The sequence below is a fragment of the Homo sapiens genome, chromosome 19 (genome assembly GCF_000001405.40).
Source record: "Homo sapiens chromosome 19, GRCh38.p14 Primary Assembly".
Taxonomy (NCBI): domain Eukaryota; kingdom Metazoa; phylum Chordata; class Mammalia; order Primates; family Hominidae; genus Homo; species Homo sapiens.
In genome coordinates this window covers 46162136-46185478 of record NC_000019.10, presented here as the reverse complement: position 1 = coordinate 46185478, position 23343 = coordinate 46162136, and the positions used below count along the sequence as shown (strand labels likewise).

General features: G+C 45.0%; 1 protein-coding gene and 1 long non-coding RNA gene across 17 annotated transcripts in view, besides 1 other annotated feature; one reads left to right on the top strand and one right to left on the bottom strand.

Annotated features, from left to right (window-relative positions):
• The window catches only part of IGFL2 (IGF like family member 2), a 136850-nt gene that overhangs the window by 29884 nt on the left and 83623 nt on the right, over positions 1–23343 (bottom strand). For all 15 annotated transcript variants that reach the window (XR_007066605.1, XR_007066608.1, XR_007066610.1 and 12 more), the window contains exon 2: positions 4139–4244. The gene's annotated coding sequence lies outside the window, so the exon portion shown is untranslated. The remainder of the gene's footprint in view (positions 1–4138; positions 4245–23343) is intronic.
• On the top strand, positions 4600–22938 carry LOC105372424 (uncharacterized). Of its 2 annotated transcripts, NR_187895.1 has the most exons (6): positions 4600–4678; positions 4790–4874; positions 5942–5993; positions 11427–11545; positions 20828–20901; positions 21263–22938. It is a non-coding gene; the product is annotated as an uncharacterized LOC105372424 (long non-coding RNA). The 2 variants fall into 2 exon arrangements; NR_187892.1 differs by lacking the exons at positions 20828–20901; positions 21263–22938 and adding an exon at positions 11959–12052.
• Positions 14297–14847: an enhancer, noted in NCBI's record as "NANOG hESC enhancer chr19:46673889-46674439 (GRCh37/hg19 assembly coordinates)". NCBI's record gives its function as "activates a minimal SCP1, AML or CMV promoter by ChIP-STARR-seq in naive H9 embryonic stem cells {active_cell/tissue: H9 hESC(naive)}" and the evidence as "EXISTENCE:reporter gene assay evidence [ECO:0000049][PMID:30033119]".

Sequence of the window (23343 nt, the reverse complement as noted above, 5' to 3'; positions counted from 1 at the left end):
ACTTGGCAGCTGCTATCTGGATTTTCTAAGGGAGCAGGAGTGAAGGCGGGTGCCTAAATCTCCCCATCATTGCCTCCTCCCCATGTCTCTGATTCTGAGCACCCACAGTGGCCCTTCCCCAGGCTGGACTGGAGGCATGGCCCACCCTAAGGAAGGGTAGTAGACACAAGGAAACTGAGCTGGCAGGCAGAGAGAGGAGCAGCTGCCCAGAGAAGAAGAGAGGAACTGAGAGGGAGGGGGGTAGAAAAAAGGAAGAAACTATCAGCAGAGTGAACAGACAACCTACAGAGTGGGAGAAAAATTTTGCAATCTATCCATCTGACAAAGAGCTAATATCCAGAATCTACAAAGAACTTAAACAAATTTACAAGAAAAAAAACCAAAAACCCCATCAAAAAGTAGGCAAAGGACATGTACAGACACTTCTCAAAAGAAGACATTTATGCAGCCAACAGACACATGGAAAAATGCTCATCATCACTAGTCATCAGAGAAATGCAAATCAAAACCACAATGAGATACCATCTGACGCCAGCTAGAACGGCAATCATTAAAAAGTCAGGAAACAACAGAAGATGTGGAGAAATAGGAATGCTTTTACACTGTTGGTGGGAGTATAAATTAGTTCACCCATTGTGGAAGACAATGTGGCGATTCCTCAAGGATCTAGAACTAGAAATACTATTTGACCCAGCAATCCCATTACTGGGTATATACCCAAAGGATTATAAATCATTCTACTATAAACACACATGCACATGTATGTTTATTGTGGCACTGTTCACAATAGCAAAGACTTGGAACCAACCCAAATGCCCATCAGTGATGGACTGGATAAAGAAAATGTGGCACATACATACCATGGAATACTATGTAGCCATAAAAAAAGGCTTTGCAGGGACATGGATGAAGCTGGAAACCATCATTCTCAGCAAACTAACAGAAGAACAGAAAACTAAACACTGCATGTTCTCACTCATAAGTGGGAGTTGAACAATGACAACACATGAACACAAGGAGGGGAACATCACACACCGGAGCCTGTCGGGGGTGGGGGACTGGGGGAGGGATAGCATTAGGAGAAATACCTAATGTAGATGACGGGTTGATGGGTGCAGGAAACCACCATGGCACATGTATACTTATGTAACAAACCTGCACATTCTGCACATGTACCTCAGAACTTAAAGTATAATTAAAAAAGAAAAAAAAAAGAAAAAGGAAAGCAGTGACATTGAAAGAAAGAGAGAGGCACATATAATTTTGAACTACCCAAGTAGACACCATGCATTTTGTGGTTGATTATGACCCACAAGCAAAATTATACATGTGTTGAATGCAATGAAAACCTTACCAGAACAAAATTAGAAGTGTGTCCAATAAAATTAGAATTAAATAATGAGAAAACGTGATCTCCATCATCACTGGAAAGTTAAGAAATATGCTGACAGATATCCCTTAAATCAAATAGGAACTCAAAAAGGAAATAACCAATTTTGGGGGCAAAAACCGATGCAACTAGAAGGGGAAAAAATGCTGAAAACCTAGAAGGCTGGAGAAATTAGAGAAGCATGGGAGTGATGGGACTGAGGAATTAGTAGAGAAGCGAAAGACAAGGAGAAACCTGTGACAAGAGTCTGCAAGGCTGGGCGTGGTGGCTCATGCTTGTAATCCCAGCACTTTGGAAGGCCGAGGCAGGCAGATCATCTGAGGTCAGGAGTTCAAGACCAGCCTGGCCAACATCATGAAACTTCATCTCTACTAAAAATACAAAAATTAGCCAGGCATGGTGTCAGGCACCTGTAATCCCAGCTACTCGGAAGGCTGAGACAGGAGAATTGCTTGAACCCAGGAGGTGGAGGTTGCAGTGAGCAGAGATCACCCCATTGTACTGCAGCCTGGGTGACAGAGTGAGACTCCATCTAAAAAAAAAAAAAAAAAGTCTGCAGAAAGGAGAGACAGAGTAGGGGAGAGACTGGGAGACAGAAGAGGAATCAGGAGAGACTGGGAGGGGTAGGCTGAGGCCCAGCCTGGGAGAGAGAAGAAAGAGTGGCTGGGAGGGAAGAAATGAGAGAGGGAGAGAAGGCTGGAGAAAGAGGGAGAGAGAATGGAAACTGGGAGAGTCTGTGATATGCTTTGGCTCTGTGTCCCCACTCAAATCTCATCTCGAATTGTAATCCTACATGTCAGGAGAAGGACCTGGTGGGAGGTGATTGGATGATGGGGGTGGTTCCTTCATGCTGTTCTCATGATAGTGAGTGAATTCTCATGAGATCTGATGGTTTAAAAATGTGGCACGTCCCCCGTCTTGCTCTCCTGCTGCCATGTACGACATGCCTTTGCTTCCCCCTTTGCTTTCCACCATGATAATTGAAGTCGAGTTTCCCGAGGCCTCCCCAGCCACATGGAACTGTGAGTCAATTAATCTCTTTTGTTTATAAATTACCCAATCTCAGGCAGTAGCTTTATAGCAGTGTGAGAATGGAGTAATACAGTCTGGGAGAGATGGGGAGAAGTGGGAAGCATTGAGAAGAGTATGAGGAGAAAGGGAGAAAGGGGTGAGGTGAGGAGAGACTAGAGAATGTGAGGAGAGACAAGAGAGATGACAGAGAGAGGCAGGAGAGATGGGGAGAAACCACAAGACAGAGGGCAGGAGTGTAGGGAGAGGAGGCAGGGAAAGGCAGGGCCACACTGACCCAATGTCCTTCAGCAGGTGGATGGAGAAACTAACGGCAGTACAGTCATCAGCAAAGTCCTGCTCGGCAATGAAAAGGGACGATCTGACACATGCAACACCGTGGCTGACACGTGCATCGAGAAAGAAAGGATCCAATCTCCAACTCACACAACAAGTTCAGTGCACGGAACGGATGGAGTTTACTGTATGTACATTATGCCTCAATCAACTCAGCTAACAAAAAAGGACTTAAGCTATGCCTGTGACATTATAAGTTTTTTCTTGTACTTGGCTCAAGTTTTCTTTTAGCAAATAGAAATTATGTTAAGATCTCAATATAAACAGTAATTAAGAATGCACTAAAAAAACACAAGCAAATTGTGAGAGAAAAAATGTTCTGGGCATCCAGAATTTTTTTTTTTTTTTTTTTTTTTTTAGGCAAAGTCTTTCTCTGTTGCCCAGGCTGGAGTGCAGTGGTGCGATCTTGGCTCACCACAACCTCTGCCTTCCAGGTTCAAGCAATTCTCCTGCCACAGGCTTCCTGGTAGCTGGGACTACAGGCATGCACCACCAAGCCCGGCTAATTTTTGTATTTTTAGTAGAGACGGGGTTTCACTATGTTGGCCAGGCTCATCTCGAACTCCTGACCTTGTGATCTGCCCACCTCGGCCTCTCAAAGTGTTGGGATTACAGGTGTGAGCCACTGCGCCTGGTCCAGAATTCTTTATCCACTGAAAATACCATTCAAAAATAATGATATAAAATGAGTATATTTTTATGCACACAAAAGTTCAGGGAAATTGTTGCCAGTGAACATGTATTATAGGAGATGCTAAAAAGAAAGTTCTTCCTAATGAAAGAAAATGATGTCTGACTGGAGACCAGATCTGGAGGGAGAAAGGAGAGGTACTGGGAAGGTAATCAGGTTGTAACAATCCTACAAGTTCACCTTGCCCACTGCCCAGAGAGCCAAATATACTGAGAACAACCAGTATTGTTGCAAAGACTTTTGTTATTTCATGGCTAGCCAAGCAAGGAAAACAGAGAGAAACTCCTCAAACCCGTCTCTCCAAGAATTTGGGGGCCAGGGCTTTTTAAGGATCCTTTGACAGGCAGGGAGCTGGGAAACTGAAACAGTTGATGACATCACAGGGACGTCTAAAGCTGTCTTTACGCAGCTGAGTCAGTTCCTGGGAGGGAGTGTCAGGACCAGGCGGCAGCCCTGGGTCTGCCGAAGTGCTAAATCTGAAAACTCTCTCAAAGATCAGTGCTTTAGGTTTCACAATAGTGATGTGATCTACAGAGGTAGTTGGGGAAGTTATAAATCTTGCAACCCCCTGTTATGTGACTCTGGGGCAGGAAGCAACTTATAGAAAAACAAGTTAAGTGATGGCAGGTCATTGTTTGACCACGCCTATTCTTTAGCAAAATTCAAGTCCCCTTCCATAATTTTAAACTCACCTTATGAATGTGGCTTCAATCTCTGGACAAGAAGGAGGGTCAGTTTCCCTTGTCTGCAAGTTGAACTATAAGTTAAATTCCTCTCATAGTTATCTTGGTCTCTGTGCTGGAATAAGAAATAAATAAATAAATAAATAAATAAAACAGAAAACACACAACACACAACCAAATGTAGCAGTGAGGCTGGAAGCAAGATGGAGTCAGTCATGTTTGATTTCTCTCCTTACTTATAATTCTGCAAAGGAGGTTTCAATGTTGGGATGGCAAATATTAAGTATCAACTTGATTGAATACAAGAATGCAAAATATTGTTGCTAGGTGTGTCTGAGAGGGCATTGCCAGAGGAGATTCACATCTGAGTCAGTGCACTGGGAGCAGCAGACCCACCCTCAATCTGGGGGGGCACCATCCAATCGGCTGCCAGCCCAGCTAGGAAAAGTAGGCCAAAGAAAACGGAATGAGTCAACTTGCTGAGTCGTCCAGGCCTTCATCTTTCTTCTGTGCTGGATGCTTCCCTGCTCTTGAACATCAAGACTTCAGGTTCTTTGACTTTTGGACCCTTGGACTTACACCAGTGGTTTGCCAGGTGCTCTCAGGGCTTCCGCCACAGACTGAAGCCTGCACCGTCAGCTTCACTGTCATATTTTTCAGGTTTTGGGACTCAGACTGAGCCACTGCTGGCTTCCTTGCTCCTCAGCTTGCAGATGCCTATTGTGGGACTTCACCTTACAGTCATGTGAGTCAATTCTCCTTAATAAACTCCCTTTCATATATACATATATCCTATTAGTTGTGTCCTCTAGAGAACCTTGACTAATACAAATGTAGTAAATATAAAAGGCTATTTTAAAATTATCAAAATACTGCTGGGCGCGGTGGCTCACGCTTGTAATCTCAGCACTTTGGGAGGCCAAGGCAGGCGGATCACAAGGTCAGGAGTTCGAGACCAGCCTGGTCAATATGGAGAAACCCTGTCTCTACTAAAAACACAAAAATTAGCCGAGTATAGTGGCAGGTGCCTGTAGTTCCAGCTACTCGTGAGGCTGTGGCAGGAGAATTGCTTGAACTCGGGAGGTGGAGGTTGCAGTGAGCTGAGATCGTGCCACTGCACTCCAGCCTGCGCAACAGAGGGAGACTCTGTCTCAGAAAAAAAAAAAAAAGAAAAATATCATCAAAATACCAGTGCCTCAGTAAAGCAGGTGTTTTCTTGGCTCTCAATCAAGATGGAGTTAGGGCTAGTCTGAATACGAAACTCCATTGCAGCATTCCTGTTTCTCATATATGAATATATACATCACAGATGCGTGTATTTGTCTTCTGGAGAGATGGTGAGGTGTTACCAACAAGAGGGAAAACCCTGGGGGAATCTCTATAATCTCTGCCACCCCCAACCAATAGCAATGTTTTTTTGTTTTTGCTTTTTTTGAGACAGAGTCTCACTCTGTCGCCCAGGCTGGAGTGCAGTGGCACAATCTCAGCTCACTGCAACCTCCACCTCCCGGGATCAAGCAATTCTTATGCCTCAGCCCCCCGAGTAGGTGGGATTACAGGCATGCACCAACACTCCCGGCTAATTTTTGTGTTTTCAGCAGAGATGGAGTTTCATCACGTTGGTCAAGCTGGTCTTGAACTCCTGACCTCCCCTCGTGGCCTCCCAAAGGGCTGGGATTATAGGCATGAGCCACTGAGCCCAGCCCAACAGCAATGTTTGTCCTGAGATGCCACTGTTCAGTAAACGATCCACCCATCCTCATAAATGCTCTTCCATTCTACCCTCTTTCCTGCTGTGCTCGGATTCATCAGACCCGATGTGAAGCCTGACTGAGCAGAGTGGAGACCAGCAGCTGCACGTCAAGTAAGGAGGACCCCACCCGAGCCCAAGTCAGGCTGCTCAGATCCTTCCCCTCCTGCAAACCCCTGCCTCTCACAGACCCTGCACACCACAACCAGCTCTGCTCAGACTCCTGCACCCCTGCCTCTCACAGACCCCCCCCACCCTATGACCAGCTCTGCTCAGACACCTGCACCTCTGCAGCCCTGCCTCTCACAGACCCCGCACCCCACAACCAGCTCTGCTCAGACTCCTGCACCCCTGCCTCTCACAGACTCCCCACCCCATGACCAGCTCTGCTCAGAGCTCACCCTGCAGTCCTGCCTCTCACAGACTCTGCACCCCACAACTAGTTCTGCCCAGACCCCTGCATCCCTGCCTCTCACAGACCCCCCACCCCACAACCAGATCTGCCCGGACCCCTGCAGCCCTGCCTCTTTCTCCTCCTCTCCTCACCTATCCTCGTCTCTCCCACCCTGGTCTTCTCTCTCTGCCTCTTCTCTCTGCTCTACTCACTGTGTTGATGAAAAAACCAAACTCTGTAAAATATTTAAAGAGGTTTATTCTGAGCCAATGTGAGTGACCACAGTCTGGGGAACAGAGTCGAGGAAGTTCTGAGAAAGTGTGCCTGAGTTGGTCAGGTTACAGCTTGGTTTTATATATTTTAGGGAGACAGAAGCTACAGGCAAAGACATAAATCAATACACGTAAGGTATACATTGGTTCAGCCTGAAAATGCAGGGCATTTTGAAGTGGGGGCTTATGGGTGGATTCAAAGATTTTCTGATTGGTTGAAAGAGCTAAGCTATCTCTAAAGACTTGAAGTCAGTAGAAAGTAATGCTTGCGTTCAGATAAGGGAAGTTGTGGAAACCAAGGTTCTTTTTATGTAGATGAAATCTCAAGGTAGCAGGCTTCAGAGAGAATAGATGATAAATGTTTCTTTTTAGACCTAAAAGGTGTCAGACTCTCATTTAATCTCTCCTAGATCTGGGAAAGACCTAGAATGGGAAGGAGATTCTGTACAGTTGTAAATTTCTCCCATAAAAAAATGGCTTTGTAGGGCCATTTTAAAATATGTCAAAGAATTATATTTTGGGGCAAAATATTTTGATTTCCTTCAGGGCTGGCTATCTGTAGTGTGATGTTATAAGACAGTCAGGTTGAAATTTGGTATCTTATTGTCACAGAGTCTGTTGTGTTAGCCTTACGATCTCTATTTTTTTTTTCTTTTTGAGGCAGAGTCTTGCTCTGTTGCCCAGGCTGGAGTGCAGTGGCACGATCTTGGCTCACTGCAACCTCCGCCTCCTGGGTTCAAGTGATTCTCCTGCCTCAGCCTCCTGAGTAGCTGGGATTACAGGCATGCGCCACCATGCCCGACTAATTTTTTTATTTTTAGTAGAGACAGGGTTTCATCATGTTGGTCAGGCTGGTCTCGAACTCCTGACCTCATGATCCACCCGCCTCGGCCTCTCAAAGTGCTGGGATTACAGGCGTGAACCACCGCACCCGGCCACGCTCTCTATTTTAATGTTAATGATGGCCAGTTGTGCCTAAACTCCAAGAGGGAAGGGATTGAACACAAGGGGTGTCTGACCTCCCTTCCCATCATGGCCTGGAATTTAGTTTTTCAGATTTCTCTTGGGTCACCTTGGCCAAGAGAGGCTCTGTCCAGTTGGCTGGGGAGCTGAAGATTTTATTTTTGGTTTAGAGCTCCTCCTGGTCTCTCACTGCCCCACTGCATCTCCCAGCCCATCTGCAGTGCCCCTCATCTCCCCCAGCTGCAGCCTCCATCCTCACCCTCCTGTGTCCAGGTGGGGGTGGAATCACAGGACAGCAGGGAGTGAGGGGTAGGAGGACTCTCCAAAGGGATTTGGAAGGGTCCCTGGACCCTAAAATGTTGGGGCTCTTGACTACCTTGGACCATGTCCCCAAGAGTTTTCTCATTCTTTCTCATTCTTTGATGGCCTGATGTGCATAATTACATCTTTTTTTATTCTTATGTGGAGTATTTTATATATAATGCGTATATATATATGTATATATATATTACATTGCCTGATTCCTAGTTCAGTACACATTTGATAAAGGATTAAGTAAACTATCTGTATATTGTTTTGAGACGGAGTCTCACTCTATCATCCAAGCTGGAGGGTAGTGGTACGATCTCAGCTCACTACAACCTCTGCCTCCCAGGCTCAAGTGATCCTCCCACCTCAGCCTCCCCATTAGCTGGGATTATAGGTGCCCACCACCACACCGCTAATTTTTGTATTTTCAGTAGAGACAGGGTTTCACCATGTTGGCCAGGCTGGTCTCGAACTCCACCTCAAGCAATCCTGCCACCCCAGCCTCCCGAGTAGCTGTAACTACAGGTTTGCACCACCATGCCCAGCTATTTTTTTTTTTTAGTAGAGGACAGATCTTTTGAAACAATCCAGTCAAACAAAATTAAGGGCTAAAAAAGATTGAAGAATGAGCAAAACCTTCAAGATATCTGGAACCACATAAAGTGATAAGGGCAGTGGGTAGGGTAATGCGTGTGCTTAGAAGAGCTTGGACTCCCCTTTTCTTCTCCCAACTGGGCAATAGATTCAGTCACATTGCCTCCAACTTGGCCTGAATGTGGGGTGCAGCCCAGTGATAAACTGAAAATGGTGCTTTCAGCCTTGGACCAGAGAGGATGGGGCGCATCTCAGGCAAGCAGCATGGGCAACAGGCTGGGGGGAGTGTGGTCCGGTCACATCGCAGTCTCAACAGCAGCCTGCTGCAGGGTGGCAGGGACCCTCCCAGGGGTGAATGACAGCCCCTAGGATCCCCACTTCCCCCTAGGAGCAGCACCCACATGTGTAGATCCCTGGCATCTGGGCTCTCAAATGGCTCCCAGTTGAGGTTATTCCAGGTTCAGATGCCTGTGGGCTTCTGTGAGGGCTCCCTTTCTGCAGCAATGGCCCTGTGCAATCTTTAGGCAGCTCTGTATGTCAGGCCTGTGGCCTTAGTGGTTGAGGGTTTCTCCCAGAGTCAAGATTATAAAAGCTCATTTTGGATCCCTGCGGGTTTCTCTCTCACTGTTTTCCTGCATCCTAGAGCATCTCCAGCTCTCAGTGTGTCCCCAAGTGGGCGAGTGGCCTCAAACCCTCTTGTTACTTACTTCTGCTGTTTCCTGTCTCTTGCCTGGTCAATGCTAGAATTCTCTCCTAAACAATATATTCAAAATGTGAATATCTACTTCCTGTTTTTGTTCCTCTCTGTGGAAGAGGCACATACTACCTGCATCTAGTCATCCAATTGGATCCTTCTCCAGTTTTCTTTTCTTTTTTTTTTTTTGGCATTAATTTTGATTTTTAAAAATAGTGCTGGGCTGGGAACGGTGGCTCACGCCTGTAATCCCAGGACTTTAGGAGGCCGAGGCGGGCAGATCACGAGGTCAGGAGTTCAAGACCAGCCTGACCAACGTGGTGAAACCCCGTCTCCACTCAAAAAAAAAAAAAAAAAAAAAAAATTAGTCGGGCGTAGTGGCATGCACCTGTAATCCCAGCTACTCAGGAGGCTAAGGCAGGACAATCGCTTGAACCAGGGAGGTGGAGGTTGCAGTGAGCCGAGATTGTGCCACTGAACTCCAGCCTGGGTGACAGAGCGAGACTCCGTTTCAAAAAAAAAAAAAAAAATAGTGCCAGGCACGGTGGCTCATGCTTGTAATCCCAGCACTTTGGGAGGCTGAGGCAGGAGGATCACTTGAGGTCAGGAGTTCGAGACCAGCCTGGCCAAAATGGTGAAACCCCGTCTCTACTAAAAATACAAAAAAATTAGCCAGGTGTGGTGGCGGGCGCCTGTAATCCCAGCTGCTCGGGAGGCTGAGGCAGGAGAATCACTTGAACCTGGGAGGCAGAGGTTGCAGCTGAGTAGAGATCATGCCATTGCACTCCAGTCTGGGTGACACAGCGAGACTGTCTAAAAAAAAAAATTGCACAAAGTATTACTTATCTTATTCATTTTTTGGCACAAAGTATTACCTTACTCATTTTTTGACACCCTCTTAAATTTTGCACCAGAGATGTATACCTCTCTCATTCAACTCTATTCCCTGCCCTGCATGGAGGCATTGTAGAGTGATGTTTAAGAACCTGGGCTCTACAGTTAGATACTTTGGGTTCAAATGCTGATTCTGATTCTTACTATCTTTGTAGTCCTGAGTCAGCTGCTTAACCTCACTGTGAATTATTCAATTTTATTATCTGTAAGTTTGAAATAGGAATTAGTATTAACAGATAAATGTGCTGGGAGAATAAAATAAGGTAATACATATAAGAAAATTAGGGTAATATTTTGGATATATTATGTGCTCGATAAGTGTTAGACATTATTAGTTTTCAGAGACAGATTCATGTATTAATATATTACTTCTCTGGGAGGAATATATAGACCAAGTTATTAATAATTTACTAATTTTTAAAAACTCTTCTATCATTCTTGTACTTCTCAGACTTCAAATATCACAATATTTGAACACCCAGATTCTTGACAAGCAAGCTTTAAAGATTTTAAAATTCAGATAATTGGTCTTGGTTTGTAGTAATATCAGACCTGGTAATTTGGATCAATCCTTTTGCTAAAGACAATAAAAGAAGCTGAACAAAATACAAAAACATCTTAAAAGCATCAATGACCTAACAAAGTAATGAGCAATTACCGAGCCACATTCCAGAAGAGGATGGGAATTTAGAGAGTTAATCTGGGAATTTGGTTGGAGTCACCTGCCAGTTCCAAAGAGGGTCTGAGAGACTGGGCTGCATTTTTGACAGCTCCCAACCCCAGGGTTAGAAGCATAAATGTCAGAGGATATCAAGTGTGAGGAGCACTGGGGAAACGTCTTTCCTATTGCCCTACCCACTCCTCATACATTTATTATATGGAGGTGCCTTTACTTGTCACTAGGGAAAATTGAGGACGAGTCCTCAATGTTTTCCCACCAACATCCAGTTTTTCCATGATTGGGAAACTTTCAGCTATGCTGAGGGTGTTACCAGCCACTTCTTTCTTTCCCACCTGATATTTTATTCCTCCTCCCTCTATGTAGTTTTTGTTCTGGAAAAACAGGGAGGAAGAGTTCTTACATAATTGTAATCTCGTGTCAGATCTCAGGATGTGGATCTCCAGAGCCAGCCACAAGGGCGGGTCCCCTGCACTTACAAGGGCCCGGTGTTGGTTTTATGCTCTGCTGTCACTGTGTTGAAATCCAAAACACATATTGAACAAGCAGCGCTGCATGTTCACTTTGCACTGAGCCCTGAAAATTCTGTGGTCGGTCCTACCTCGACTCCAGGTCCTGTGATAGCTCACTTGTGCTTTTCTGGGTGAGGAAAAGGTGGGTCTGTATTCGCCAGTGCTAAGTCCTTTCTCAGCCCAGGCAGGCAGGGGTGCTACCTGCTCATCTGTCCTGTTTCTGCTCCCTCCTCTAGGTGGCCTTCCCAGGACTTGACTCCATATGCATGTTCTCGTCCATGGGCTCATACCCAGTCCAAAGGACTTTACCCCAGCTCCATCTTTGCCCAGACACACTTGAGGCTGCAGGGTTTTGGTAAGAACACAACTGCCAGATCAATAATTGCATACCAAGTACCAAACTCTGTTTTGATTTGCCCCAATAAAGACACAACATCTGGCACAGCATCTGTGGTTGGGGCACAATCTAGCTCTGGTTATGAAAGTTTACAATTTCCTGCCCTTGTCTGTGATACAGTTTGGATGTGTGTCCCCTCCAACTCTCATGTTAAAGTGTGATCCCCAATGTTGGAGGTGAGGCCTGGGGAGGTGTTTTGGTCATGGGAGGAGATTCCTCACAAATGTCTTGGTGCCCTCCTCACAGTAATAAGTGAGTTCTCACCCTGTTACTTTGTGCAAGAGCTGGTGACTTGAGTCTGACATCTCTCCTGTTCTCTGTCTTGCCATGTGACGTGACTGCTCCTCCTTTGCCTTCTGCCATATTGTAAGCTTCCCAAGGCCCTCACCAGAATCAGATGCTGGCACCATGCTTCCTGTACAGCTTATAAAACCGTGAGCCAATTAAATCTCTTTTCCTTATAAATTGCCAAGCCTCAGGTATTCATTTATAGCAATGGAAATGGACCAACAGAGGTAGTCTGCTTTATAATGGGTCAGAACGTGAATCACATGAGGATACGATAGTGCTTGTTATTCCTGAATTTTCCACATCATACAATTCACCTTCTGGGCTCCATATAGGGGAAGTGATTCTGGAAAACGTGGTTCCCACTTCAGAAGGAACAGTGGTGTTGGGGACACGTTGACAACAGAAAGTCTAGCACAGTCCACCCCATTCAAAAATAAGCATCTGTAGACATTTTCAACTTCCAAATAAAAGCAGCAACAATACTATTTTCCACCTAATGTGATGCAACTATTCATTTTACAACCCAAAGACCTTTAATCTTCTCTATGGAAGAGATATTTGAAAATGCTAGTCCGTCTCCCAGATGACTAACAACCCCTTTTGCTCTTTCATGCTATAAATACCAAGGATCAACCAATATAAACCTATATTACATAGAGGGGTATGAAGGCACTGAGACAAAAAGCAGAGGACTCAGTTAATACAGAAACTATATTCACATCAGCTGGGCATGGTGGCACATGTCTGTAGAGCTACTCAGAGGGCTGAGGTGGTAGGATTGCATGAACCTGGAAAGTGAAGGTTACAGTGAGCCAAGATCGCACCACTGCACTCCAGTCTACATGACAGAGCGAGACCTTGTCTGAAAAAAAATATATATATATACACATCAAAGTGAGGAAGATTATATAAATATCTAACTTAGTCCTTGTTTCAGCAGCTGGCCTTGAGGCTAAAGCTGGCATTTAAAAATTTCCTCTTTCAAGTTAGACACAGTGGCACATGCCTGTAATCCCAGCTACTCAGGTGGCTGAGGTGGGAGGCTCATTTGAGTTCCGGAGTTCAAGACCAGCCTGGGGAACGTAACAGAACTCCACCTGAAAAAAAATTTCTTCCACTATCCATTCCATAATCCCTATGCTCTCAGCAAACACCTCAACTGGCTGTGATTTTTTAACCTGGTGAAGTTACTCACGTCTTCATGAAGTATACATTCCCTCAGGAGTCCTTCCTGTAATGGATTATTATCATTTTCCCATGTTTTACAATGGGACGTGGGAGTTCTAAGAGGCATCCCACAGAATGCCTTGTGTGAGTGGTATAGTTATACTCTCTTCTGCCGATTGTGTAGTAACTACCCAATTCCCCCCTTGATAATCAGGACAATTTGCCACTTTTTACTATCAGGCTTTACACGATTTCTTCTACCTTAGACTATATAACCATTCAGTTACATCCAGGTTAATGGCTTCCACTTCCAAAGTCCGTATCTCTGGAGTCAACAGCAAGAACACTTCCTGCCAAGGACTACTCCAGATTTTTGCATGCTTAATCCAAAGCAAAAATAAGACCTTTTGAATTAGGGATGTTTCTATCATTAATCTTCATCACACATAATTTTTTTTTTGCAATTCAGATTCCTGGTGAAAGTTCTTCAGAGCTTCAAATTCCTTTTGGTGTAACAATATATTATTTGCACCAATTTTACCTGTACGGCACCCACTTTTCATTCTTATAAAACTTATCACTTGGTAAAAAAAATTCTCACTTTTCCTGAATGTCCTTTTGGTTCCTTGTAATATCCTCCATCTAGGCCATTCAACAGGGTGAGCTTCATACTGATGGGGAGTTCAAGAAGGGAGTTATCAAAAGATAAAGTAAGTGTACTCGCATTTTCTCCTTGAGAGGTTGGGTAAGTCAACAATAGACTAGACCTATGGAATATGAGAAACAGCAGGCTGTCCCTATAAGACAGGAGACTGCTGAGAGCTATGCTGAGTCCAAGGAAGAGAAGGCAGTTGTAAATTGTACTCAGAGTTAATTTGCCCTGACAGAAAATGGAGATAGAGAAAAATAAGACACAATACTCTGAAATGTGCATCTCCATGTCATTCCATGAATGGTATGGTCTAAGTTTGATTGTTTTATCAGTAGAGATTATCTTCGAACTCATCTGAGTGAGCAAGTCACCACTCTTGCCCAATAGCTTCTTCTCTCTGTCAATCTGAACCCCACCCATAATCTCGTCTTGAATAGCACCTCCCTCTGGCTGACTCCCCTTGACTTAGCTCCTGGCTCTTGACCCAGAAAGTGACTCATTCAGGCTATCACTTATCGGGGGAAGCAGCCCCCGATAATTCAACGTAGGTTCTTTTCTGTTTTCCCTAAGTGTCGGCCAGTCTGAGAAATAAAGCGAAAGAGTACAAAAGAAAGAAATGGTAAAGCTTGGTGTCTGGGGAAGACATCACAGGTCGGCAGGTTCCATGATGCCCCCTGAGCCATAAAACCAGCAAGTTTTTATTAGCAATTTTCAAAGGGGAGGGAGTGTACAAATAGGGTTTTATTAGCAATTTTCAAAGGGGAAGGAGTGTACGAATAGGGTGTGGGTCACAGAGATCACATGCTTCAAGGGCGACAAAAGATCACAAGGGCAGAAGGTCAGGGCGAGATCACAAGGTCAGGGTGAAACTAAAATCACTAATGAAGTTTCATGTCCCGCCGTGCACACATTGTCATTGATAAACATCTTAACAGGGTTCAAGAGCAGAGAACTGGTCTGACTAGAATTCGCCAGGCTGGAATTTCCTAATCCTAGCAAGCCTGGGGGTGCTGCAGGAGGCCAGAGCATGTTTCATCCCTTATCTGCAACTGCATAAGGCAGACACCCCCAGAGTGGCCATTTTAGAGGCCCCCCTGGGAAGGCATTATTTTCCCAGGGCTGTTAATTATTAATATTCCTTACTGGGAAAAGAATTCAGCAATATTTCTCTTACCTGTTTTCCGTAATAAGAGAAATATGGCTCTGTCCTGCCCAGCCCACAGGCAGCCAGACTTTAAGGTTATCTCCCTTGTTCCCTGAAAATCACTGTTATCCTGTTCTTAAGGTGCCCAGATTTCAAACTGTTCAAACACACATGCTTTACGAACAATTTGTGCAGTTAATGCAATCATCACAGGGTCCTGAGGCAGCATACATCCTCAGCTTATGAAGATGATGGGATTAAGAGATTAAAGATAGGCATAGGAAATTATAAGAGTATTGATTGGGGAAGTGATAAATGTCCATGAAATCTTCACAATTTATGTTCTTCTGTTACGGCTTCAGCAGGTCCCTCCATTCGGGTTCCCTGACTTCCCACAACAATCACTGATACACAACAGTGAGTGACACCAACACAGTGAGTCTCAAGCTTGAGAGCCCGATTCTTACTCTCTCTCGGTGCACCCACTTAGTAAGCTACCCTGGACATGTCATTTAGCTATCCCTATTTTATTTTTCATATCTCCCATATGGTGCCATGGAGCCCTTGCATCCCCCTTCTAGCCACCCAGAATGTTCAGAAACTGAGCTAGTCATTCAATTTCTACTACTTGGGCAGAAAATCTGAGATCAATTTGGAATGTTTCTTGCAGGACATTAGCAAAGATCTCACTAGGTACCATTTATTTGAAAGCAAATCATACAAATACTTGAAAAGATTAAATTCTGGCAATTCTAGGGTGTTATCTCCATTTTTTTTTTTTTTTTTTTTTGAGACAGAGTCTCACTCTGTTGCCTAGACTGCAGTGCAATGGCATGATCTCAGCTCACTGTAACCTCTGACTCCCGGGTTCAAGCAATTCTCCTGCCTCAGCCTTCTGAGTAGCTGGGATTACAGGCACCCACCACCACACCTGGTTGATTTTTGTATTTTTAGTAGAGACAGGGTTTCTCCTTGTTGGCCAGGGTGGTTTTGAACTCCTGACCTCAGGTGATCCGCCCACCTTGGCCTCCCAAAGTACTTTATTTAAATAAAGGCATTATTCTTTGCTCACCCATATTCTCATACAATTACTCCTAGTTTTGTTCTCATTAGGTCTCCAACACTATCACCAATACAGATTTATTTATTTATCCACCTTGAAAACATCTATTCACTCTCTCTCTCCACTTTCTTCTTTTGAGTGGCATTATTTTTGCTTTAGAGTGTATGGCCTTTATTTTACTTTGTATTTTTATGGTCATTGTTCTTTCTCTATCACTGCATTCAATTGAAACAATCTTGATATTTCTACTGTCTTCAGGTTGATTCACCTAATTTAGTCCACTGAAATTCAATTTATATTGGATTGGGCAATTCTATTTTTAAGGTCTTAAAGATTTCTGAAAACATTTTTAATTTATTTTATTTTTTAGAGATAGAGTCATGCTCTGTTGCCCAGACTGGAGTGCACTGGTGCAATCATAGCTCACTGCAGCCTTGACCTCCTGGCTCAAGTGATCTTTCAGCCTCAGCCTTCTGAGAAGCTAGGACTACAGGTACATGCCACCAGACCTGGCTAATTAAAAAAGAAAAATTTGTGGAGCTAGGGTCCCACTATGTTGGATATAGCAACCAGTGGGCAAACAAACACATAGTTTCCAAATAATCTTAGTGGAGAAAAAAGGTACACATACACATACACACACACACACACACACACATACACACACACACACACTCAATCTACTGATCTATTCAGGAAAAAATAAGTACAGAAAAAAACAGGGAAAAAAATTACAGCATGTAGGATATGCCAACCTTAAAGGAAGAAGCTGAAGCAAAATTATATAAGTAGAACTTTATTTGGGCCAAGCTTGAGAACTGCAACCTGGGATCATGGATGCAAGTTGCACTGAATGCACACTCTGCTTAGCAGCAGTTACAAGTGGATGTTTAAAGGCAAAAAAAGGGGGACAAGCAGTGGGGTTGATACAAAGTTGTTTGTCAGTTTTCATGGGTTTACAGAAATGGCACTGGTTAGTGACTGGCTACATATTATTAAGTTATAGGGTGTGGGTTATAGTGTCAGGTGTGGCATTATTAGGTTAATTTATAGCTACTTGTGGCAATAGCAAGCAGTTTCCAGAGATGAAGATATAGCTCAAAGGGAGGAGTATGACATGATTGGATGTCTCATTTTAATGCCTCTCTGGGCCTGAAAATTGAAAATATTTTCATTCCTTAGATAAAAGTTCTTTTCTCAAAAACATAAGAGTGAAATGCTTTAAATAAGACCAGACATTTGCCCAGCAACTGCCTGTCCAAACTCAAAACTGATGCCACCCTTGTTATTAATCTTTTTAACCAACGATAATGTTTTTCAAAACAATCATGTAATCCTTGTCTGGGTATTGGCAGCTCATGCCTGTAATCTCAGTGCTTTGGGAGGCCCAGGCAAGAGAATCATTTGAGGCCAGGAGTTTGAGACCAAGATGGGCAACACAGCGAGACCTAGTCTCTAAAAAAATACAAAAATTAGCTGGCATGGTGGTATGTGCCCGTAGTCCTCGGTATTCACGGCTTTGACTTTGTTTTAGCCTTTCCTCCTTCTAGATAATACATATTAAGATATCATAGTAGGACACTTAGGCTGCCATAACAAAATACCACAGACTGGGTGGCTTAAACAACAGAAGTTAATTTTCTCACACTCTGGAGGTTGGAAGTCTAAGATCAAGGTGCTGGTCAATGCCGTTTCTGTTGAGGGCTCTCTTTCTGGCCTGCAGACAGCCGCCCTCTCACTGTGTGCTGACATGGCCTCTTCTTTTGTGTGTGCAGGGAGAGTACAAGCTCTCTGGTGGCTCTTCTTATAAGGACACCAATCCTATCAGATCAGGGCCCTACCCTTATGACCTCAAGCACTTCCTTAGAGGCTCCACATTCAATTACAGCTACAGTGGGTTTCAGGGCTTCAACATACAAATTTTGGGGAAGACATAAACATTCAGTCCATAATAGATAATGTATTTTTGTCCAGTAAAGTGTGAGCCCTGGTCCCCGTCCATATCGGAAGGGGATGCCATATGTTGCACACAGCTGCTCTAGTCTTTTTATGGTGGTTTTCTGGGTGGCACGCTTGCTGGGATATGCCTGCATTAGCCCCATTGTAGGGGTCTGCACAAGTCAAGGCATAGCAGCAGCCATCAGATACGGGCAAAGGTCCTATATAGTCTACCTGCCACCACGGAGCCAGGCTCCGACCCTGGCTGATCTGCCCAGTATCATGCAGCAAGGGGCTGCGGCTCTCCTGCACACACGCAGGACATTATTGACAGATGTGTACTATGTCTTTATGTCATAGTGGTGGGCACCAGTTCTTCACTGTGGCCCAAAGGGTACCTGTTGCGGGAAGTCAGGGACCCCAAACGGAGGGAACGGCTGAAGCCATGACAGAAGAACGTGGATTGTGAAGATTTTAGGGACATTTATTAGTTCCCCAAATTAATACTTCTGTAATTTCTAATGCCTATCTTCACTGCAATCTCTAAACATAAATTGTAAAGATTTCATGGACACTTACCACTTCCCCAATCAATACCCTTGTGATTTCCTATGCCTGTCTTTACTTTAATCTCTTAATCCTGTCAGTTGAGGAGGATGTATATCATTCCAGGACCCTGTAATAATTGTGTTAACTACAAAAATTGTAAAGCATGTGTGTTTGAGCAATATGAAATGTGGGCACCCTGAAAAAAGAACAGGATAACAGCAATTATTCAGCGAATAAGAGAGATAACCTTAAACTCTGACCGCCGGTGAGCCAGGCAGAACAGAGCCATATTTCTCTTCTTTCAAAAGCAAATGGGAGAAATATCGCTGAATTCTTTTTCTCAGCATGGAACGTCCCTGAGAAAGAGAATGCGCACCTAGGGGTACGTCTCTGAACTGGCCACCCCTCCGGGGCGTACCTGTCTCTTATGGTCGAGATTGCAGAGATGAAATAAACTCCAGTCTCCCATAGCGCTCCCAGGCTTATTAGGAAGAGGAAATTCCCGCCTAATAAATTTTGGTCAGACCGGTTGATCTCAAAACCCTGTCTCCTGATAAGATGTTATCAATGACAGTGGTGCCTAAAACTTCATTAGCAATTTTAATTTCGCCTCAGTCCTGTGGCCCTGTGATCTCGCCCTGCCTCCACTTGCCTTGTGATATTCTATTACCCTGTTAAATACTTGATGTCTGTCACCCACACCTATTCATACACTCCCTTCCCTTTTGAAAATCCCTAATAAAAACTTGCTGGTTTTTGTGGCTTGTGGGGCATCAAGGATCCTACCAATGTGTGATGTCTCGCCCAGACGCCCAGCTTTAAAATTTCTCTCTTTCGTACTCTGTCCCTTTATTTCTCAAGCCAGCTGACGCTTAGGAAAATAGAAAAGAACCTATGTGATTATCGGGGCAGGTCCCCCGATAGGTATCTTGTTCTTAATGTCCTCTTTGTTAGCCAGTGGGCCACATCTTCTGTTTCTAACACCTTTTTGGAAGTTAGAAACAGAACTTCCTCCAGTAGATGAATGTGGGATAGCTAGTCCACCTGCTGATTTCCAGGTGGTGCAGGTGCTGTGCAGGCATCCACATGCTAGGCCATTATATGCATGTCCGAGATACAATGGAGAATGTCCTTCCACATGTCAGCCTCCCCAAAGGGGGCGGCCAGCTACCATCCAATCCAGTGTTTCCCACTGTAGTAGCCACATGGTAAGTCCCTTAAAGATGGACCAGCTATTGATGCACAGGACTATTGGGTCCGGCTCACAGAAGAGACAACCCAGGCGGCTCACAGCTCAGCCCATTGGCTATTATGTCCTTTGCCTGTATCAAGCCAGATACTATCAGTGGATGGCTGGATGACCATGGCTATCCAAGTGCAGGCATTGCCTCGTGACAAGCCACCTCTGTACCAGGCCTGGTCAGAAATCGGGCCCTGTCCCTCTTGCATGAGGAGGTAATTTGCGGAGGCTCAGTGTCTGTGTCAAAGGCCCTCCTTCAGCTGTCATGTAGGTGACAGGGCCACGCACCAAATGGAGCCCTGTGCTAGTTAATGTGCTCCCTGTGCTAGTTAATGTGCTCCTCTGTGCAAGCATGCATGCTATTTGGCCACACTCTGTGTCTGGGCATTCCCAGACTTTGGTTTCTGGAAGGTGTCCTTCAGCCAACCTGCTATGGGGTGCTGGCTGCAGACTAGAATGGGACCCCCTTTGTAACATCCTCCCTTTGCTGTAAGGCATGATATGTAGTGTAGCATTGTTGATCCATGATTCTACAGATAACTTCAGCACCCTTCCATAGTTGGGACCGGAATACTACAGGCACATATCTGTGTCCTCACCTTTGCCACAGGCTGCGCCCTAACCTCTTGGAGTAACTGGCTACGTCAAATTTACAAGGCCGTCCCTGCCCTAGAACACCCAAGGTTTGTATTCACTTCACTGTGAGTTTAGCTTGTCCAAAGGCATCATCCTCCTTTGTGGACCAGTCCCAGTGGGCCCCTTTCTTGACTAAGCAGTACAAGGGCCTAACAAGTTGGGCCACATGGGGAATAAAAAGACACCAATACCCTAGAAGGCCTAAGAAGGTCTGCAACTGCTTTGGTGTGGTAGGACACAGTTAGGCCTACACCATATCTATAATGACAGATGGAACAACTTTAGTCTTACCTGACCAGACGACACTCAAGTATTTGATAAGCCTGGACCCTGAACTTTGTCTACATTGACCACCCATCCTCTGTTCACGAAGTGAGACAGCAAGGTGGGGCCTGCAGTTTGTAAGCTGAAAAAAGACTCAGAAGTTAGTGATATCATCAATGTAATGGAAAACACGTGCCTTCTCCAGCGCACTCCATCTACTCAGGTCAGCAGCCACTATAAGGTTATGTAAATATCCCTCACGCAAGACGTAAAGGTCTATTGTTCTCCTTTACCAGGTGACTGTAAATTGGTCTTGACCCTCTGAGGAAATGGGGATGCTGCAGAAGACACTGGCTAAATTGATAAAATGGTATGTACCAAGTGCTTCTCCTATCCTCATCAGGAAGCAGGTGATCAACTGGGGCCTCCAGCCACCCCTGCTGATGTTCTCCAGCTGACAGAGGTTTGAATTCTCCCTGGGATGGAACCCCCAGAGGGAGGGGTGGGCTGCCATCTTTGCTGTTTGGGTGACTTAGCTGTTTCAGCCTTTGGGTATTGGAGAGTCTGAGCTGACTGGGGGCAGAAGAGGTCCCCCAGCACAGCACAGCTGCTCCACCAAAAGGTGGTCAGACTTCTTCTTTAAATGGGTCCCTGATCCCGTTCCTCCTCACTGGGTGGAATGTCCCAACCAGGACCTACAGTCACCCCTGTTTGTGTTCTCCATCCTACAGAGATTTGTAACCACCCTGGGACAGAGCTCCCAGAGGGAGAGACGGGCCACTATCTTTGCCATTTAGATGACTTAGCTGTTCCAGCCTTCAGGCCTCAGAGTATCTGAGGAACCAGGGGCTGACATGGACCCCCAGCACAGCACAGCTGCTCTACCAAAACATGGCCAGACTGTTTCTTTAAGCAGGTCCCTGATCCCATTCCTCCTCACTGGGCAGGACCTCCCAAATGGGGTCTTCAGCCACCTCCTACAGGTGCCTTTGCATTGGCAACAAGCCTGTACCATCCTGGGATGAAGCTTCAGGGAGGGACTGCTGCTATTTTTGCTGTTTCACAGTCTTCACTGGTGATACCTCCAGGTACTGGACTATCTGAGGCAACTAAGGACTGGAGCAGGCCCCCAGAATACCACAGCAGCCCTACAGAAAAGAGGACAGACTGTTACATTGGTGCCCATTCCCATGTCTCCTCATCAGGCAGATTCTCCAAGCCTAGGCCTCCAGCCACCCCCTGCCAGAGCTATGAAGCCAGTAGCAACTCAGCAACTCCATGAACAGAGCCTCCAGCGCCATCTGAAAGCCCCTCTGCCACTGCCTCTGCAGTGGAACTGTCCTTGCCACCCTCAGACTAACAAAGGAGCAAAGGCCCTAAGCGCTTTATTCACACCTCCAACAAGCTGCAGTCAACCCAAGGAGAGGAGATCAGTCTGTTTCCCATGGGTCCCATACTCCCTCTCCCACTGCTCATCACCAGGCAGGGAACCCCTGGCATGGACCCACGGCACAGATGCTCCACCTTGAGCTGACTGCACTGAGTGGCTGCTGACCTTCATCTCTCTGGAATGGAGCCCCCAGGAGACAAGCAAACAACCCTTGGCCACAACCACTAATAAGATCCCTTCCTCTGCTGCTTCCAACTTGAGGAAGGAACATAAACACTGAGATCACCCCAGAGCTGCAGTGGGCAGCCCAGGAGTCCCAAGTCATAATCACAGCCAGCACTCAAGAGGGAGAGGAACCCACACTTTCAGAGCATTGTGAGAAAACACAGCTGCAACTGTGAGGAAACATAGGGGAGCCATACAACTGACCAATAAGCCTAAGTGCCACCTGCTGGATCACACCCCAAAGCGTCAACATAAATAATACCTTACTAACATATCCGGCCTCTGAAACCAGAGACAAGAAGTCAGTTTCAAATAAAGACCCCACACAAAGCCTCAGCCCAGGGAAAACATCCAGAAAAGAAGTCTATTGACTGTACTTAATCTACACTGTGGTTAAAGAAACACTCACACACAGAGATGAGAAAGAAGCAATGCAAGAACTCCAGTAACTCAAATGGCCAGAGGGTCATATGTCCTCCAAACGACCACACTAGTTCTGCAACAAGAGTTATGAACCATGCTGAACTAGCTGAAATGACAGAAGTAGAATTCAGAATACAGATAGAAACAAAGATCACTGAAATTCAGGAGGATGGCAAAACCCAATCCAAGGAAAACAAGAGTCACAATAAAGTGATACAAGAACCAAAGGACAAAATAGCTGGTATAAAAAAGAACCTAACAGGTCTGGCAGAGCTGAATAACACAACACAAGAATTTCACAATGCAATCACAAGTATTAACAGTAGAATAAACCAAGCTGAGGAAAGAATCTCAGAACTTGAAGACTGGTTCTTTGAAATAAGAGAGTCAGACAAAAATAAAGAAAAATAAAAAATAAAAAGAAATGACCAAACCTCCAAGAAGTATGGGATTATGTAAACAGGCTAAATTTATGAATCACTGGCATCCCTGAAAGGGAGAGGGAGAAAGCAAACAACTTGGAAAACATACTTCAGGATATTGTCCATGAAAACTTTCTCAACCTTGCTAGAGAAGCCAACACACAAATTCAGGAAATACAGAGAACTCTTGCAAGATTCTACACAAGGAGATCATCCCCAAGACACATAATCATCAGATTTTCCAAGGTTGAAATGAAAGAAAGAATGTTAAAGGCACCTAGAGCGAAAAGGCAGGTCACCTACAAAGAGAACCCCATCAGGCTAACAGCAGACTTCTCAGCACAAGCCAGAA